General features: G+C 55.1%; 3 protein-coding genes and 3 non-coding genes across 40 annotated transcripts in view, besides 6 other annotated features; 1 reads left to right on the plus strand and 5 right to left on the minus strand.

The window, feature by feature from the left end:
- Window positions 1-8670, minus strand: MCM7 (minichromosome maintenance complex component 7). Of its 6 annotated transcripts, none has more exons than NM_005916.5 (15): window positions 8537-8670; window positions 7287-7366; window positions 6862-7026; window positions 6552-6676; window positions 6296-6476; window positions 5851-5988; window positions 5414-5563; window positions 5107-5221; window positions 4887-5018; window positions 4574-4657; window positions 3047-3440; window positions 2660-2743; window positions 1446-1614; window positions 565-674; window positions 1-406 (listed from the first exon to the last, which is right to left on the minus strand). In NM_005916.5, exons 1-15 carry the CDS (start codon window positions 8565-8567, stop codon window positions 205-207), a joined length of 2160 nt encoding a protein of 719 aa, NP_005907.3. In that variant the 5' UTR covers window positions 8568-8670; the 3' UTR covers window positions 1-204. The 6 variants fall into 6 exon arrangements, with proteins under 6 accessions (NP_005907.3, NP_001426201.1, NP_001426202.1 ...); NM_001439272.1 differs by having other exon boundaries at window positions 8473-8670; NM_001439273.1 differs by lacking the exon at window positions 8537-8670 and adding an exon at window positions 7817-8027.
- MIR25 (microRNA 25) lies at window positions 833-916 on the minus strand. Its single transcript, NR_029498.1, has one exon. It is a non-coding gene; the product is annotated as a microRNA 25 (primary transcript).
- On the minus strand, window positions 1041-1120 carry MIR93 (microRNA 93). Its single transcript, NR_029510.1, has one exon. It is a non-coding gene; the product is annotated as a microRNA 93 (primary transcript).
- MIR106B (microRNA 106b) lies at window positions 1266-1347 on the minus strand. Its single transcript, NR_029831.1, has one exon. It is a non-coding gene; the product is annotated as a microRNA 106b (primary transcript).
- Window positions 2774-3274: an enhancer, noted in NCBI's record as "H3K4me1 hESC enhancer chr7:99693124-99693624 (GRCh37/hg19 assembly coordinates)". NCBI's record gives its function as "activates a minimal SCP1, AML or CMV promoter by ChIP-STARR-seq in naive H9 embryonic stem cells {active_cell/tissue: H9 hESC(naive)}" and the evidence as "EXISTENCE:reporter gene assay evidence [ECO:0000049][PMID:30033119]".
- Window positions 7865-8024: an enhancer, noted in NCBI's record as "active region_26335". NCBI's record gives its function as "activates an Ori minimal core promoter by ATAC-STARR-seq in GM12878 lymphoblastoid cells {active_cell/tissue: GM12878}" and the evidence as "EXISTENCE:reporter gene assay evidence [ECO:0000049][PMID:35858748]".
- Window positions 8067-16312, plus strand: AP4M1 (adaptor related protein complex 4 subunit mu 1). Of its 13 annotated transcripts, none has more exons than NM_001438825.1 (16): window positions 8067-8769; window positions 8981-9045; window positions 9153-9241; window positions 9948-10054; window positions 10137-10233; window positions 10682-10792; window positions 10885-10965; window positions 11365-11427; window positions 12147-12213; window positions 12318-12371; window positions 12513-12619; window positions 12718-12812; window positions 13232-13276; window positions 13514-13564; window positions 13676-13787; window positions 13931-16312. In NM_001438825.1, exons 2-16 carry the CDS (start codon window positions 8988-8990, stop codon window positions 14153-14155), a joined length of 1362 nt encoding a protein of 453 aa, NP_001425754.1. In that variant the 5' UTR covers window positions 8067-8769; window positions 8981-8987; the 3' UTR covers window positions 14156-16312. The 13 variants fall into 13 exon arrangements, 12 of the variants coding, with proteins under 12 accessions (NP_001425754.1, NP_001425753.1, NP_001425755.1 ...); NM_001438824.1 differs by having other exon boundaries at window positions 8067-8324; window positions 9153-9262; NM_001438826.1 differs by having other exon boundaries at window positions 8067-8324.
- Window positions 8135-8234: a silencer, noted in NCBI's record as "silent region_18415". NCBI's record gives its function as "represses an Ori minimal core promoter by ATAC-STARR-seq in GM12878 lymphoblastoid cells {active_cell/tissue: GM12878}" and the evidence as "EXISTENCE:reporter gene assay evidence [ECO:0000049][PMID:35858748]".
- Window positions 8370-8922: an enhancer, noted in NCBI's record as "NANOG-H3K27ac-H3K4me1 hESC enhancer chr7:99698720-99699272 (GRCh37/hg19 assembly coordinates)". NCBI's record gives its function as "activates a minimal SCP1, AML or CMV promoter by ChIP-STARR-seq in naive and primed H9 embryonic stem cells {active_cell/tissue: H9 hESC(naive and primed)}" and the evidence as "EXISTENCE:reporter gene assay evidence [ECO:0000049][PMID:30033119]".
- Window positions 8945-8994: an enhancer, noted in NCBI's record as "active region_26336". NCBI's record gives its function as "activates an Ori minimal core promoter by ATAC-STARR-seq in GM12878 lymphoblastoid cells {active_cell/tissue: GM12878}" and the evidence as "EXISTENCE:reporter gene assay evidence [ECO:0000049][PMID:35858748]".
- TAF6 (TATA-box binding protein associated factor 6) overlaps window positions 14343-16546 on the minus strand; it is a 20102-nt gene continuing 17898 nt past the window's right edge. For 17 of the 18 annotated variants that reach the window (NR_033792.2, XM_047420781.1, XM_024446896.2 and 14 more), the window contains 3 exons: window positions 15640-15813; window positions 15199-15396; window positions 14343-14896 (listed from right to left, as the gene is read on the minus strand). Coding sequence is in view for 17 of the 18 variants with exons in the window: in XM_047420781.1 (XP_047276737.1) it covers window positions 14519-14896; window positions 15199-15396; window positions 15640-15813 (750 nt within the window). In the remaining variant the exon portion in view is untranslated. The remainder of the gene's footprint in view (window positions 14897-15198; window positions 15397-15639; window positions 15814-16546) is intronic. The other variant, NM_001364999.1, reaches the window with a different exon arrangement.
- Window positions 14620-15120: an enhancer, noted in NCBI's record as "H3K4me1 hESC enhancer chr7:99704970-99705470 (GRCh37/hg19 assembly coordinates)". NCBI's record gives its function as "activates a minimal SCP1, AML or CMV promoter by ChIP-STARR-seq in naive H9 embryonic stem cells {active_cell/tissue: H9 hESC(naive)}" and the evidence as "EXISTENCE:reporter gene assay evidence [ECO:0000049][PMID:30033119]".

Here is a 16546-nt window from a genome sequence, read left to right on the forward strand (position 1 = left end):
TAAAAAACGCACAAAACCCTGTTTTAATGGAAGTCAGGCCCAGGCTAGAAGATGACAATCTACAAACACTTTTATTAGCAAAAGGAGTAAGTGCAGCATGGGAGAAAGAGGGGCTCCTCCTTCCCCTCAAAGGCATCACTGCCCCTTCCCAAGGGGCAGGCCAGCAGGGAACAAGAGGACCCCAGGGTTGCAAGCAGGCTGGAATCAGACAAAAGTGATCCGTGTCCGGGAAGCATTGACCTGCCAGACATTGAGCTCCTCATATTCATCCAGAGCCGCCTGGAACTGGGCGGGTGTGAAGCCACGAGATACACAGCGCTGCTCTGCCTCAGAGAACCGGACACTTCGGCCCCCTGAGACCAGTTCACGGACGGTGGCAAATATCACATCTGCTGGTCTCTGAGTCCTGAAGGAAATGAGTGGGTGTGTAAGGTCAGGATACAAACAGGAATGCTCGACATCAACAGAGAACAATGGTGGCCAGTGTTAGAATTGAGGCCAACCTCAGACACATGGCCACAGAAGACAAAGTGACACAGCTTTGTCCTTCACTAAACCACTCACCTAGCTGTCTGCCCCTTGTCTCCTAGAAGAGAGTCCTTTGACATCTCCATTAGCCTGATGGCTTCATTCACATCTTCTTTCTCCACCACATCCACCATTCTCAGACGTGCCTAAGGGGAAGGTAGGGGGGAAAGATGGGAACGGGAGGAGGGCAGTGGAACGAGGTCAGGGGACACCCTTGTTCTGGCTTTAAGGCTGGGCAGCCCATGGGTCGCCTACTCACAAAACAGGAGTGGAATCCCCCCTCCCCCCAGCATCCGCAGTGTTGGGCCGGCACTGTCAGACCGAGACAAGTGCAATGCCCAGGGCAGCGTCCAGCAATTGCCCAAGTCTCCGCCTCTCAACACTGGCCAGTCCCGGAGTTCAGCTGTCCTGTGAGGGAGACCAGACCCTTTTGAACGCCACTGGGCTCCCCAGCATGACAGATGGAGCTTGGGGAGCTCAGCCAAGAAGACAATTGGCAGAGAGAACGTGTCCCGGGGGCTCGGGAAGTGCTAGCTCAGCAGTAGGTTGGGTAATCACACTACCTGCACGAACAGCACTTTGGAGCCCCCAGGACTGAGGTCCAAGACGGGAGGACAGAAAGGAAGGTCTGTAGCACAGGATCTAGGACACATGGAGTGAAACAGACCCCAACCACCCTCTCAGTGAAGGTTAAGAAGTGGGGAAAAGGCCTTTCCCTCCACGGACGCTGTGCGTGCCCTGCTGGAGCAGCAAGTACCCACAGTGCGGTAGCACGGAGAGGACCACTATCTGCACTGTCAGCACTTTAGCCCCGGCAGGGCTGGAGCGGGAGGTGGGGAGGCGGCAATGAGAGCACGGTAAGGAGCTACCCCTTTAAGGGTCAAAACAGATGGCCCTCCAGCAATTTGGGCACTTACCAGAGCAGTGGAAAGGCGCAGGATAGCCAGCAGGGTCCGGGCAGAAGTATAGGTGGCATCCTTACTAGCCCAAGCCTCTCGCCTCATCTCCACGTATGCTGCTGTGATGTAGTCAGCCAGAGACTCTGGCACCATGGGCTGCTTCTCGCGGCACATGGCTATGTAACGCCTGTGGGGGAAGGTTCATGGGGAAGCAGAAGAGGGAGATGGGGAAGGGAGTGAATATGAGCCCATGTTGTTTTCTGTACCAGGGCTCCCCATTTAACATGGTCCCCTCCAAGAATTTTAAGTGGAAAACACAAATTAGTGGGTGATTATTTGCTTGGCTTGAATATCACTGATGGATTTCACCAAACGTATAGCCCCCACCAGTATCCTCCAAGTTATTTCCTATTTTTTTCGGGAAAATGGCCTTTGTAAGACAAATCCGTCTGTCATTAAGAGAGGATCCAGACCCCTCCTCTGAGCGCATGACATGGCAAAACATATATTTTATTTAAAGAGAACTGTTTACAGAATATTTAAAAGGGAGTAAAAACCGGAAAGAACACTGGAGGCTCATGGGAAAATAGCGATAGAGATTATCATCCAGAATGCCTGGGAGCAGGTGTTTTAAACTTTAAATTTTGGAGTATTTGCATATGCATGAGATAGCTTGGGGATGGGACTCCAGTCTAAACATGAAATTCACCTGTATTTCATATACAACTGATACACATAACCTGAAGGTAATTTTATTAAAAATATTTTTGTGGGCCAGGAGCAGTGGTTCATGCCTGTAATCCCAGCACTTTGGGAGGCAGAGGTGGGCATCCTGGCCAACATGGTGAAACTGCTCTCTACTAAAATACAAAAAATTAACCAGGCGTGGTGGCGTGCGCCTGTAATCCCAGCTACTCAGGAGGCTGAGGCAGGAGAATCGCTTGAATCTGGGAGGCAGAGGTTGCAGAGAGCTGAGATCACTACACTCCAGCCTGGGTGACAGAGCAAGACTTCGTCTCAAAAAAAATAAATAGTGTAGGAAACAAAATTTCCTGTGTCCCTATGATATGAAGTGTGGAATTTTCCACTTAAAAGCTGATCTGAGGCTCTGGACATGTCTGTAGCGGGAAGTGGTGGTGTGAAAAACACACACCCTAAGACTAATAAGCACTTTTTCAGGAGGCTCGCACGGCCCACGCCAACGTTTGCCCACCCGCACCCAGCTCTCCTACCTCATGAGCTTCATGTCCAGAGGTTCAAACTGGGAGGGGGGCTGCCGGCTGTGCTGGTGCACATAGGTGATGTGCTGGGCCAACCTGGACAGAGGGAAGGTTAGAAGGAACACCCTTTTTAGGGCTACGCACCCATGTCCTCTTAGGTGTCCCTCCTTTGGCTCTGCCACTTCCTCACAGTGTAGGAGGGACAAGCTTTCCCGGGAAATCCTCATCAGCATTTCAGCCCCAACCCACCATTTCCCTGAGAACCATGGACCAGCCCCTGCTGCAAAGGGGAGGCTCTGGGGTTTCCAGGAGCGTGGAATTTGTTTTCTGATTCACCTCTCCTCCTCCCTACACAGATCATTACAGGGGACCTCTCTTTGGGTGTTGAGCTTCATTCACCGTAGGTCATTGTCTCGGTCGGGCCGGTCCTGAATCAGCCAGAGGAGGTCAAACCGGGAGAGCAGTGCAGCAGGTAGCTGTATGTTCTGCTCCAGGCTGCGGCGAGGGTTGTAGCGCCCGTAGGCAGGGTTGGCGGCAGCCAGGATGGAGCAGCGGGCATTGAGTGTGGTGAGAATGCCGGCCTTGGCAATGGAGATGGTCTGCTGCTCCATGACCTCGTGGATGGCTGTGCGGTCGGCCTCAGCCATCTTGTCGAACTCATCAATGCAGCACACACCCTGGTCAGCCAGCACCAGGGCCCCACCCTCTAAGGTCAGTTCTCCACTCACGGAGTCTCTCAGCACAGCTGCCGTAAGCCCCACTCCTGAGGAGCCCCGGCCTGTTGTGTACTGGCCTGGAAGAGAAGAAATAAGGAACCATGAGAGAGAAAGAACAAGAAAGAGAACAAGCAAAAGACAACAAACGGGCCAGGGAGGCGAGGCCTGCGCTGGGATCATTCCACTCCCTCCACCAGGCCTTCTTGAGATGCCCGAGGATCTGTGGGGCACTGGCAATGTCCCCCTTCCCCTCCCACTGGTTCTCTTCAGAACACAACTGTGGCTCACTGAAACCTTGGCTCCTGGGCTCAAGCCATCCTCCGGCCTCAGCCTCCCAAGTAACTGAGACTATAGGCACTCACTACCACACCCAACCAATTTTTAAAACTTTTTAGTAGAGGCCGGGCGCAGTGGCTAACTCCTCTAATCCCAGCACTTTCGGAGGCCGATAACAAGGCGGGCAGATCACGAGGTCAGGAGTTCGAGACCAGCCTGCCCAACACAGTAAACCCTGTCTCTACTAAAAATACAAAAAGTGGCCAAGTGTGGTGGCACGCGCCTGTAGTCCCAGCTACTCGGGAGGCCGAAGCAGGAGAATTGCTTGAACCTGGGAGGCAGAGGTTGCAGTGAGCCAAGACCATGCCATTGCACTCCAGTCTGGGTGACTGAGACTCCGTCTCAAAAAAAACAAAAAACAAAACAATACCCAAACAACAAAAAAAACTTTTTAGGCCGGGTGCGGTGGCTCACGCCTGTAATCCCAGCACTTTGGGAGGCCGAGGCGGGCGGATCACGAGGTCAGGATATCGAGACCATCTGGCTAACACGGTGAAACCCCGTCTCTATTAAAAATACAAAGAATTAGCCAGGCGTGGTGGCGGGCGCCTGTAGTCCCAGCTACTCGGGAGGCTGAGGCAGGAGAATGGCGTGACCCCAGGAGGTGGAGCTTGCAGTGAACCGAGATAGCGCCACTGCACTCCGGCCTGGGCGAAAGAGCAAGCCTCTATCTCAAAAAAAACAAAAACAAAAACAAAACTTTTTAGTAGACATGGAAGCGGTCTCAAAATCCTCGCCTCAAATGATTCTCCTGCCTCAGCCTCTCAGAGCATTGGGATTACAGGCGTGAGCAAACATGCACCCCTACTTTTTGAATAAACACTGTGGTCCTGTCTGTCACTATATTCACCTCCCGCAAAGCCCAACTACTTACTGCGAGGCGCCAGTCGATCAATGTATGACAGGAGCTGAGACTTGGCCACACCAGGATCCCCCATCAGACAGATGTTGATGTTGCCTGGAGGAAGGGAAGGCAGCCCTGGAATGACTCTTCTCCCAGTGCTTGGCCAACAACAGAGCAATTTTGAGTTCTGCCTACCCCTAACACCCAGCACTATTTCTAAGCCCTCCCTGTGTCCACGAAGGCAAGATGTCCACTCATACTGTGACCTACAGGGACACTTGTCATCCTTTTTTCCTCCTAAATGACTTCATCCACCCTGAGCCTCTCCCTTGTTTCTTCTTACCCCGGATTTTCATGCCTCGAGGAGACTGGTCCACACCCCCGACTAGCAGGAGCAGCAGTGCCTTCTTCACATCTTCATGCCCGTATATTTCTGGGGCGATTGAAGCTGCCAGCTTTTCGTAGAAATCCTCCTCTGTAGAGAAGTTAAGGTTGTTTTATTTTCTGGGGGAAAAGGGAGCTAGGATGTAAACGGAATTTCCTCTCTCTCCCCTGCCCCTCACCTGCAATTTGCCTCAGCTCCTCCCTGGTGAGCTCTCCAGCCCCAGACTCATCATCCTCACTCTTGTTCATCTTCACAATCCGATGGGCTTCCAGGTAGGTTTCTGAGAGTAAACCCTTGGGCAGGAAAATGCCAGGATACAGATGTAATCCCTTCAACTTGCCCATCACTGGATTCCCTAACAATTTCTTGACAAATCCCTGGGTTCTGTTTTGTTTGGGGTTTTGCTGCTCTTTTCTCTGTGTGGGTAGAATGAGTAGGTGAGGGAAAAGGGGATGATCCATTCCTCATGTCAAACTCTTCCTTACCTGTACCACCTGTCGGAACCCAGTGCGCAGGATTGGCAAGAAAATACCAGTGACGCTGACGTGGTCTCCAGGCTGGGCAATCCTTGTGTTCTCTCCTTCTACCAGCACCGTGATACTACGAGGGATATTTCCCACAGGCACCTGATCACTCTAGGGGAGGGAAAGGCACATAAGACTAGGAGAAATGGACAAGGACCCAACCTTCCCTCCCTAGGCATCCCACTCAAAGGCTCCCAGGCTACCCAGCCACAGACAAGCCCACAGCAGGGGTGCTGAGACCTCCTTTCCCCTTCCCAAGGCTCCCAGGAAATTCTAGTTCCACCTCCCTCCTGCACTTCCCTCTTTTGTTCTTCTTTCTTCCTGCCATTCCACAAGTGACTACAGGATTCAAGTGGACTCCCGATCCACCTGCCCAGGGCCACGTACCCCAAACTCACATGTTCTTGCATCTTCATCTCCTGGAATTTGATGAATCTGGAGCCCCGTGTCTGCAGATACAGCCGCCCTCCTGAGCGGTTGGTTTGGCACTCCTGGCTTGGGCACATGATCAGAGGCATGAAAGTGGGAGACTGGATCTAGGATGTGAGAACAGAAACACCAAAGGAACTCAGAAGGAAAAGAGCCCCATTGGGTCGGTCCTTTGAATCACATTTTCTCTTCATGGCAGACATCTTGTAAGTGTCAAGAACCCTCTGAACTTACTCTGGGTCAACAACAAACACCCAGAAAATAGGTAGAAAGACCACTACATACCCAAGAATGAAAGGCGAACACACAGGCAACTTTTACAACCAAATAAAACAATAGGCATCACAGGATCAAATTAATCTCTACAAAACAACTAATGGGTAAGTGCTTTCCTGCTTCTTGCTCCACACGTACCGGCTGGTAGGTCTCTGCCCCACACTGGTCACAAGTGTAAGTGGCCACCACCATCTTGGGTTTGACTTCAGAGACACGAGTGACGATTCCACGCACAGTTACCAACTTCCCCACAGAGTCAGCCCGCACTTCCCGGATCACACGAGGCTTGTTGCTGCTAGGGCCTTGAAAATACAGCTCACTAAGGGGAGAAAACAGTCACAAACAAGATCCTGGAGAACCAATCCCTACATCTTTCCCGACAGAGACCACTCACAATCTGCGCATGAGTTCAGCAGGGTACTGGTTCTGGGGGCTTCGGACCATCCCAGGGTCCCGACTCCGCTGCTCCATCATTAGCCGATGCTCAATGTAAACGTCCAGGACATCTTTATTTACCACCTAAAGGAGAAGAACAAAAAAAAAAAAAAAAAAGAGCAACAGGATGGGGAAAGGAGAGCACAGAGAACACCAGGCAGAAGTGCCCCTCCTTTCTGCCTGCTCAGAAAACATCAGTATCTGAGCAGCCTCTCTACAGAAGCTTAAACGCCTCGCCCTTTGTTTGCCATTGTTCTCTAACCACTCACTTCCCTCTCCTTGTACTGAGGCAGCAGCTCTTGTACGGCATCAGCAAAGAGCTTCGCGTAGCGCCTGGCATTCTCACAAATTGAGTCCACCAACTCGGGGTCATCCTCGGCTACGTCGTCCAGGTCCACATACAGAGCCACCTGTTCCCGATGAGCCAGCCGAACCTCAAGTGGGGAAGAGACAGAAACACCTCAGAGCCACATTCACTTTGCTCACCAGTGTTCATATGTGAAAATGCATCACTGAGAACTCAGCACAGGCTCTGGGCATCCACAGGGGAGAACGCAGCGCCACACAGAGCGATACTCGCTTTTCAGCCCTCAAACCCTCTAATTGTTATGTCTTTAATAAAACAAGCCAAGCTGCTGCTTATGGCTCCTTAAGCACCCCGCTCCCCATTCCCTTTACCCAATCTTAGACTTACCAACTGGTTCCCATACTTGAACTGCTTCTTCCCGAGTTCATCATCCTGGTAGAACTCTTGTAAGAACTTCTTAACCTTTTCTGTAACATGAAATGTAAAACCGTAAGACACAAACTTTAAGACAAATCTTAGATACCCATTTTCGCTTAAAACACGACCTATGAACTAATTAATAATATGAGCATTTAAATAAACCTACCGAAGTCTCCCCAAAGTGGGCATAACTCTTTTTCACAAGTCTGTTTCTAACCAGCGAAGAATAAAGAGCCCGTGGCAGTGCACAGGGCCATCCAACATCTCCCCAGGGGAATTCCGGTCCCTACTTTAGTTTAAAATTCTAGCGCCCTTCCCCGTTGGCCCCTCACACTCCGGTCTCAAGGTTCTCAGCTTTCTTTCCACCCCTATGATCCCCCGCCTTCTTTGGGTCCCCTTAGCCCCTGATTTCACCGGGACCTCCGCCACCGCACCCCGCCACCGCACCCCACCCCCGCTCCCGCCATCGCTTCCGCTCTTAGTAAACAAAGAAGCACATGGGCCCGGATTCCAGCCGCTTCACAGCTCGGGATTCCTCCGCCCAGGGCGGGAGCCAGTCCAGCCATTGGCCATCACACCCAGAGACACCGCGATCCCAGCCCACTGCCGCCTTTCCCGGGCCCGAGCGAAGCTCCGGATCCCAGGCACGCCCCCCCGGGCCGCAGCTCTCTCCGCGGCCGCCGCGCGGAAGGACACTGTTTACACGACACTCCCTCCAGCCTCCTCGCGCCACTTCCGCCCGGCTCCACTTCCGCTCGGAGGGCGGCCTCAAACGGCCAATCCCGGCGCGCAGCGGCCCCGGCCTGCCCGCCCCCGGGGCCTACGCGCGCCTGGGGAGGGCGCGGGAACCTGGGAATGCCCAAAAGCGCGAAGGAAAGCGGGCACGGGAGCCCAGAGCCCTTAAGACTCTCCTGAGGTCCTGGGCGCGACTTTTCCCTGTGCAGCCCCCAGCCGGGTTAGCGCGCCCCCAAGCCCCCAACCCCACGACCCTAACACCTTTACCAGGTGGGATTACTAGCTTTTCTTCAACATCGATGGCCCCCCGCACGCTTCCCAGGCCCCGTGGGCCTTAGCCAGGCCGCAGCTCGACCCTGCCTCTGGCCTCGCGCACCCCAGAACCCGCCGACCCCGGTCCCCCAAGACCCCAGCTCACACCAACAGGTGTTCCCCGGGAGGCTCCCCGCGCAGGACGCCCTCCCGGGCTCGTAGACCCGTACCCTTCTCTAGCGCGTAGTCCTTCAGTGCCATCGCTGCCGAGGGCCGTGCGGCCGCGCTTGGCGGGCTCAGAGGTCTTGCTCCTGGGGAAGCTGAGAATCTCCGCGCGGTGGACTGTGGCCGGCCAACCGAAATTGGCGCGAAACGTCGCCCCCCACGTGACCGGCGCCACTGCGTGCGGGCCAATCGGACAAGGCGGCCTTCTTCACCTCCCGCTAGCCGCAAGCCAATCACCGTGCGGGCCTAGAATGAGTGACGGGGAGGCGGTGCGGGCGTCGGAAGGGAATCTCCGGGCGGGGTAGTGCAGGCGCCGGGTTTCCCGCGGTCCGAGCTGGCGCGGGCGGAGGAGAATCGCTCTTAAAGGGCCAGCGCACACGCGTTCTTTTGTTCCGGGGCCGCAGGGCGGGGCAGGCCCGACTTTCGCCGTCTTCTTGTCTACTCTCCAGAACGGCCATGATTTCCCAATTCTTCATTCTGTCCTCCAAGGGGGACCCGCTCATCTACAAAGACTGTATCCTAGACCCTTGGGGCTGGGAAGGGGCGGAGGGGCCGGGCGGGAGGGGCGCCCAGGGCCAGCCTGTGTCGCAGGATCCTTCACTGAGTCCTTCCACCCGCCAGTCCGCGGGGACAGTGGCGGCCGGGATGTGGCCGAGCTCTTCTACCGGAAGCTGACGGGACTGCCAGGAGACGAGTCCCCGGTTGTCATGGTAACCAGTGGCGGGAGGCGGGTGAGGAGCGGGGTCCCGTCGGGCCGGGTGGGCGCCAGCTCCCTCCCAGGACTGGTTCATTGGTAGATTCCACTTGGGGGGTGCATTCCGCCAAATAAAGCTAACGTGAGGCCCGGCGCGGTGGCTCACGCCTGTAATCCCAGCACTTTGGGAGACCGAGGCGGGCGGATCACCTGAGGTCAGGAGTTCGAAATCAGCCTGGCCAACATGGTGAAACTCCGCCTCTACTAAAAATACAAAAAAAAAAAAAACATAGCTGGGCGTGGTGGCGGGCGCCTGTAATCCCATCTACTCGGGAAGCTGAGGCTTGAGAATCGCTTGAATCCAAGAGGCAGAGGTTGCAGTGAGCCGAGATCCGGACACCGCACTCCAGCCTGGGAGACAGAGCGAGACTCCCTCTCGGGGTAGGTGGGGGTGGGGAAAAAAAAAAAAAGAGTCAATGGGCGCCAGCAACACACCAGGCCCAGCTCCCTGCGTGACTCCATCCTCAGCAACTCGGGGTAGTTAGTGTAATTAACCCCCTTTCCACATTGGGAAGCTGGGCCCAGGCATATGTCATGTATCTCCCAAAGGCACTGCTGTTGTGACTAGTAAGAGGCATCGGGATCCGAGCTCAGGTCTCCTGGGTTCTGATCACTCCACCTCCCTTTTTTTAACGCCTCTCTTCTCCCTGCCTGTGTCTCAGCATCACCATGGCCGTCATTTCATTCACATCAGACACAGCGGCCTCTATTTGGTGGTCACAACTTCAGAAAACGTTTCTCCCTTCAGCCTCCTAGAACTGCTCTCCAGGTGAGGAGGGTTGGGCTGGGCACCTGGTAGCTAGGAGGGGTCTGAGAGGAGGAGAAAATACACGCTCCAAGTGTTTCCTCAGGTTGGCCACCCTTCTGGGCGATTACTGTGGCTCCCTGGGCGAGGGGACCATCTCCCGCAATGTGGCTCTGGTATACGAACTCCTGGATGAAGTGCTGGTGAGAATCAACAATCCCCTTCTGTGGCCCCTACCCAATTCCCCTGAAGATACATCTGCTCTTCTACTGTGGGATGCCGTGGTTAGGAGGCCAAGTCTACCTTTTTTTTTTTTTTTTTTTTTGCTTTTAGAGACAGGGTCTTGCTCTGTTGCCCAGGCTGGACTGCAGTGGTGCAGTTATAGCTCACTGCAGCCTGGAACTCCTGGGCTCAAGCCGTCCTCCTGCCCCAGCCTCCCCTGTGCCTAGCTAATTGTTTATTTTTTGTAGAGACTAGAGTCTCACTGTGTTGCCCAGGCTGGTCTTGAACTCATGGCCTCAAGCCATTCTCCTACGTCTCGGCCTTCCAAAGCGCTGAGAGTACAGGAGTGAGTCACCATGCCTGGCCCCACTCCCCCTCTTTACCCCTTCCCTCCACTGATCACTCAGACTGTCCTTCCTTTACCACTAGGACTATGGCTATGTACAGACCACATCCACGGAGATGCTGAGGAATTTCATCCAGACGGAAGCTGTGGTCAGCAAGCCCTTCAGCCTCTTTGACCTCAGCAGCGTTGGCTTGGTCAGTAGAGGGAAAGAGGAGGGTGAGGAAAGAGAAGAGGGGTTGGCTGGGGTTGTCAGACCTGATGATTGATTGCTTTGGATGCTTTACAGTTTGGGGCTGAGACACAACAGAGCAAAGTGGCCCCCAGCAGTGCAGCCAGCCGCCCCGTCCTGTCCAGTCGCTCTGACCAGGTGAGGGAAGGATCCATGGGGTCAGACGCTCTGGTTTTGCTCTGGGATCCGGGAGTCCAAGATCTTAGGTCGGGCACAGCGGCTCACGCCTGTAGTCCCAGCACTTTGGGAGGCCGAGGTGGGCAGATCACCTGATGCCAGGAGTTTCAGAGCAGCCTGGCCAACATGGTGAAAACCTGTCTCTACTAAAAATGCAAAAAAAAAAAAAAAAAAAGAAAAAGATCTTGGCACATCTCCCACCCCCCCAGATGTGGGTGGAGGTGGGAGATGATCCCTTCCATCACCCATGTCCTCACCCTAGAGCTGTAGCTTTGACTGTCCTGTTCTTTCTCCCTGTCTGTCCATTTCAGAACATAGGCTATTCTGCTTCCAACCACCCAAATTCTCTCTCTTTCTCAGAGCCAAAAGAATGAAGTTTTTTTGGATGTGGTCGAGAGATTGTCTGTACTGATAGCATCTAATGTAAGTTTGAGCTCCCAAACCTGGAGCTGAGGACAGATGGGACTTGGGAAACATGGTGGGGTGGCTAAGACTCCCAGCAACGGCCGGGCACAGTGGCTCATGCTTGTAATCCCAGTGCTTTGGGAGGCCGAGGTGGGAGAATTACTTGGGGCCAGGAGTTTGAAACCAGCCTGGGCAACATAGCCAGACCCCGTCTCTACAAAAAATACAAATAAACAAATTACCCAGACATGGTAGTGTACACCTGCTGTCCCAGCTACTTGGGAGGCTGAGCCAGGAGGATCACTTGAGCCCAGGAGGTTAAGGCTGCAGTAAGCCAAGATCGAGTCACTGCACGCTAGCCCGGATGACAGAGCAAGACCCTGTCTCTTAAAAAAAATAAATAAGTAAAAAAGGCTGGGCACAGTGGCTCATGCCTGTAATCCCAGCACTTTGAGAGGCCGAGGTGGGTGGATCACTTAAGGTCAGGAGTTTGAGACCAGCCTGGCCAACACAGTGAAACTCCATCTCTACTAAAAATACAAAAATTAGCTACTTATGGTGGCAGGCATCTGTAACCCTAGCTACTTGTGAGGCTGAGGCAGGAGAATGTCTTGAACCTGGGAGGTGGAGGTTGCAGTGAGCCGAGATCACGCCACTGCCAGCCTGGGCGACAGAGCGAGACCGTCTCAAAAAAAGAAAGAAAAAAAGACTCTAACCTTGACGCCCCTGCCTCTCAGGGATCCCTGCTGAAGGTGGATGTGCAGGGAGAGATTCGGCTCAAGAGCTTCCTTCCTAGCGGCTCTGGTGAGGCATCTGCAGGCAGGACCAAGGGTTGGGGTTAGGGCGGGTTCCTTGGTGTCTTAAACCATGGCATTGCTGAGCTCTCCTGATGGTCTCTCCTCCGACAGAGATGCGCATTGGCTTGACGGAAGAGTTTTGTGTGGGGAAGTCAGAGCTGAGAGGTGAGGAGAAAGTGGGTCTTTCTCCCCTTGGAGTAGGTCATTGCCAGAGTTCATGGAGAGAAGTCAGACAGAGCCTCCCCTCTCCTTGCTCCTCTCCCAAAACAGGAGTCAGGAGAGAAGTCTCTCTCTCTCTCTTTCCAGGTTATGGGCCAGGAATCCGGGTCGATGAAGTCTCGTTTCACAGCTCTGTGAATCTGGACGAATTTGAGTCTCATCGAATCCTCCGCTTGCAACCACCTCAGGGCGAGGTCAGGGTTGGGGTGGCCTCATAAATTCCGTCCACCATGGGGAAGGGGGCAGTGGGGTCGTGAGACCAAACTAACCTTGTTGCTCTCTGGTCTCTCAGCTGACTGTGATGCGGTACCAACTCTCCGATGACCTCCCCTCACCGCTCCCCTTCCGGCTCTTCCCCTCTGTGCAGTGGGACCGAGGCTCAGGCCGGTGAGACAATTTCCTGGGTTCTAGAACTACCTTGGAACCCAAGCCAAGACCTGTATGTTCCCAAGACTCACTGCAGAGTGGGGGTGGTGGTAGTGGTGATGGAGTGCAAATTGGAAAAAGGCTTGGGTTGCGGCCGGTGGCTCACACCTGTAATCCTAGCACTTTGGGAGGCTGAGGCGGGAGGATCACTTGAGCCCAGGAGTTCCAGACCAGCCTGGGCAACATAGTGAGACCCCATCTCTCTGAAAAAAAAAAAAAGGAAAAAGCTTTGGCTAATGGAGTTGGGCTGGGCTTCAGCCCTTTTCCCTCTTGGGAGTACAGCCCACACCCACACAGCCCCACATGGAGGTCCCTGGTGGGGAATGGTGAGATGCCAGTAGAAGATGGCCTGAGTCGTGGTGTTTTACCCTCTCATCCAGGCTCCAGGTTTATCTAAAGTTGCGATGTGACCTGCTCTCAAAGAGGTAAGAGTGAGGCTGGCCTGGCTGAGTTCAGCTCTATGGGACGGAAGACAGGGCCAGGGCACCTGCTGCTTCTCCCTTCAGATGCAGCTGCCAGCCTCAGAAGCCAGTTAAGGTAGAGGCTGTAGAATTTGGGAAGGTGGGGGGCACCTGTGCTGAAATCCTGTTATGACATTGAAGAGGAACAGGACAAGGGACTGTGCCTTCCTGGGGCTGACTTTGTTCCCGTCTCCTCTGTAGCCAAGCCCTCAATGTCAGGCTGCACCTCCCCCTGCCTCGAGGGGTGGTCAGGTGAGTGTGTGCACCCACCACGGGGAGATTCCTGGGGAGAGAGTGAGCTCAGCATGACGGGTCTGCCTCAAGAAGGTGCCAAGCCCAGCACCTTCCCTTTCCAAACTCCAGCCTGTCTCAGGAGCTGAGCAGCCCAGAGCAGAAGGCTGAGCTGGCAGAGGGAGCCCTTCGCTGGGACCTGCCTCGGGTGCAAGGAGGCTCTCAACTCTCAGGCCTTTTCCAGGTATTCGCTGTGGACCCCCAGCCCCTCTCCTCCCACATTCACTTGCAGCCCCCACCCCACCCTCCCGAAGCAGCTGCTGCCTGGTTCCCCCAGCGTGGTCAGCTTCTTGCCCTCCTTCCTCTCCCTGCCTCTGCCCCTCACAGATGGACGTCCCAGGGCCCCCAGGACCTCCCAGCCATGGGCTCTCCACCTCGGCCTCTCCTCTGGGGCTGGGCCCTGCCAGTCTCTCCTTCGAGCTTCCCCGGCACACGTGCTCTGGCCTCCAGGTCCGATTCCTCAGGCTGGCCTTCAGGCCATGCGGCAATGCCAACCCCCACAAGTGGGTGCGACACCTAAGCCACAGCGACGCCTATGTCATTCGGATCTGAGGCTCCCCAAACGAGGACACGACGGCCAAGGTGGCAGTTTGTCCCACGGGAGGACAGTCGTTTCTTTTCCAGCCTCCTGGCCTTCGGACTCTGAATCTGGGCAGGAAGAGTCCTCAGTCCCAAGACCAGGAGGGGGCAATGGGCCCAGCCTTTCTGTGGTATCTGATGCAGGAAGGACTGCAGTGGATCAGAACTTACAAACCAAACTTTTATTCTGAGAAACTGGCTGTACAATATCTAAAAAGAAAGTGACATGAAGGAAGCAATCTACAACTTCCTTCCGCTTAGCGAGCATGCATGTGTGTACGTGCACGTGTGTACATGTCTGCATGTGTGGGAATCCGGGGGCTGGCAGGTGGAGCATCACGGAGCAGGCTGAGGGGAGCCGGAGTTGGGCTGGGAGCCATTGGCTTTTGGAGTCCCTGGAGCTGGAGGGGGACTGTCCCCAGCCTCCTGCTTCCCCCCACAAAGGGCACTGCCGCTGAGTGGGGACGGGGACGATGCCGGGGGAGGAACTGGAGAAGGATGGGAGGTGGGGCCTCCTTTGCCCTCCCCTGTTGGGGGAAGTGAGACCACGATGTACTTCTGGACACTCCCAGGACCAGAGGGAGCAGTGCTGGGGGGTGCGGTGGTGGCGGTGGAGACCAACTTGACGATGGGCTGCACGCTGGGGACGGTGGTGGTGACGGGCGAAGTGGTGGTGGAACCTGAGCCGGGGGCCGAGGTGCTGAGGGACAGGACCTGGATAGAAAGGAAAGGCAGGCCGCTTGCCCTGTGCCCTCCCTGCCCCCCAGAGGCCTGGCGAGGACGCTTCACTCGCTCCCTGCCTGAACAAGTTGTTCCTGTAGTTCACCCTGTAGACAGCTATGGCTGGAGACCTTGTTCATGCAGGGCAGCTACAGCCCTGCAGGACCCTGGTGGGCGCCTCTTCCAGCTCTTGACTTGGGGCCCAGAGGGGACTGTGCTCTACTCCTGGGCCTCCCCAGGGTGCTCTGAGGTAACCCAGGCCCTCCAGATGCTCCCTGTCCCACAGCTCTGCATACCTGCTGGGTGGATGGGGCGCTGGAGGACGATGACATTACAATAAACTTGGTTGGAGGAGGGGAAGGCTGTGGTGGGGCAGCCGCTCGTGCAGACACCAGTGTCTGGACAGGAAGTGCGATGGAGCCAGGAACCTTCAGCAAGCCAGGGGTGCGAGGGCCAGGCTGTGGGGCCTGCGAGAGGGTCAGCGTGGGCCGGGGCTGCGGGGAGAAGAGGAAAGGGGGAAGTGGCACCATCTACTAAGAAGAGGAGTCTGAAGGGAGAGGCCTGGGCTCCCCTCGCTCTTCCTCAGTGGCTCTCACTAGGGCTGGGGCATCCTCACTCAGGGCCTGGTTGCCCTGAGACTACTGACTGAGGGCACATGTGGCTGTGTGCAAGTGCCTGTCCCACACAGGGGTTCTCCTCTGCTTCCTCCTATTCCTCCTCCCCACCCGGCCACGGACCTGCGTGATGGTCAGAGTGGTCCTGTTGACCTGCTGAGCCTGCAGAGCAGCCTGGGCCCGAGCCTTGACCACCTGGGAGCAGAGGAGGGGCCCAAGGGACCCGAATTCTGCCCGATAGGCGTCCTGATTGTCAGGCGGTGGGCGCAGCTTTGCCAGAACAGGAGCACAGTGTTTCTGCAGAACAGAAAAAAAGCCAGGTAGAGGGAGGGCTGGGGAAAAAAGCCAGGTAGAGGGAGGGCTGGTGACACTCTTGAGAAGAACCTTGGGGATGGGGTAAAAAAGGACATTCCTTATCATCTCAGTGCCCCTGTTGAAGGCCAAATTATGCTGAACTATTAGTGTGTGTACAGAACACTGTGGGCTTTCTCATAAGAAAAGATGGGCACGGGGCCAGGTGCAGCATCTTAGGCCTGTATCCCAGCACTTGGGAGGCTGAGGTGGGTGGATCACTTGAGGTCAAGAGCCTGGCCAAAATGGAGAAACCTCATCTCCACTAAAAATACAAAAACTAGCCAGGCATGGTGGCACGCACCTGTAGTCCCAGCTACTGGGGAGGTTGAGGTACTAGAATGCTTGAACCCAGGTGGTGGAGGCTGCAGTGAGCAGAGGTTGCATCAGTGCACTCCCGCTTGGGTGACAGAGTGAGACTGTCTCAGAAAAAAAAAAAAAAGAATGGCTGGGTGTGGTGGTTCATGCCTGTAATCCCAGCACTTTGGGAGGCTGAGGCTGGCAGATCACCTGAGGTCAGGAGCTCAAGACCAGCCTGGCCAATATGGTGAAACCCCGTCTCTACTAAAAATACAAAAAATTAGCCAGGCATGGTGGCGCGTGCCTGTGGTCCCAGCTACTTGGGAGGCTGAGGCATGAGAATTGCTTGAACCTGAGAGGCAGAGGTTGCAGTGAGCCT

The sequence above is a fragment of the Homo sapiens genome, chromosome 7 (genome assembly GCF_000001405.40).
Source record: "Homo sapiens chromosome 7, GRCh38.p14 Primary Assembly".
In the NCBI taxonomy this organism is placed as follows: Eukaryota; Metazoa; Chordata; class Mammalia; order Primates; family Hominidae; genus Homo; species Homo sapiens.

Excerpts from the sequence above, each read along its gene's own strand:
- MCM7 (NM_005916.5), bottom strand. The coding sequence starts at position 8,567 with ATGGCACTGAAGGACTACGCGCTAGAGAAGG. Across the intron at positions 5,564-5,850 it reads AGATGAAGATGCAAGAACAT|AGTGATCAGGTGCCTGTGGG; the intron begins GTGAGTTTGGGG and ends TCCCTCCCCTAG. Across the intron at positions 407-564 it reads GACAAGGGGCAGACAGCTAG|GACTCAGAGACCAGCAGATG; the intron begins GTGAGTGGTTTA and ends CATTTCCTTCAG.
- AP4M1 (NM_001438824.1), top strand. The coding sequence starts at position 8,988 with ATGATTTCCCAATTCTTCATTCTGTCCTCCAAGGGGGACCCGCTCATC. Across the intron at positions 10,966-11,364 it reads TGTCCAGTCGCTCTGACCAG|AGCCAAAAGAATGAAGTTTT; the intron begins GTGAGGGAAGGA and ends TCTCTTTCTCAG. Across the intron at positions 13,788-13,930 it reads AACTCTCAGGCCTTTTCCAG|ATGGACGTCCCAGGGCCCCC; the intron begins GTATTCGCTGTG and ends TGCCCCTCACAG.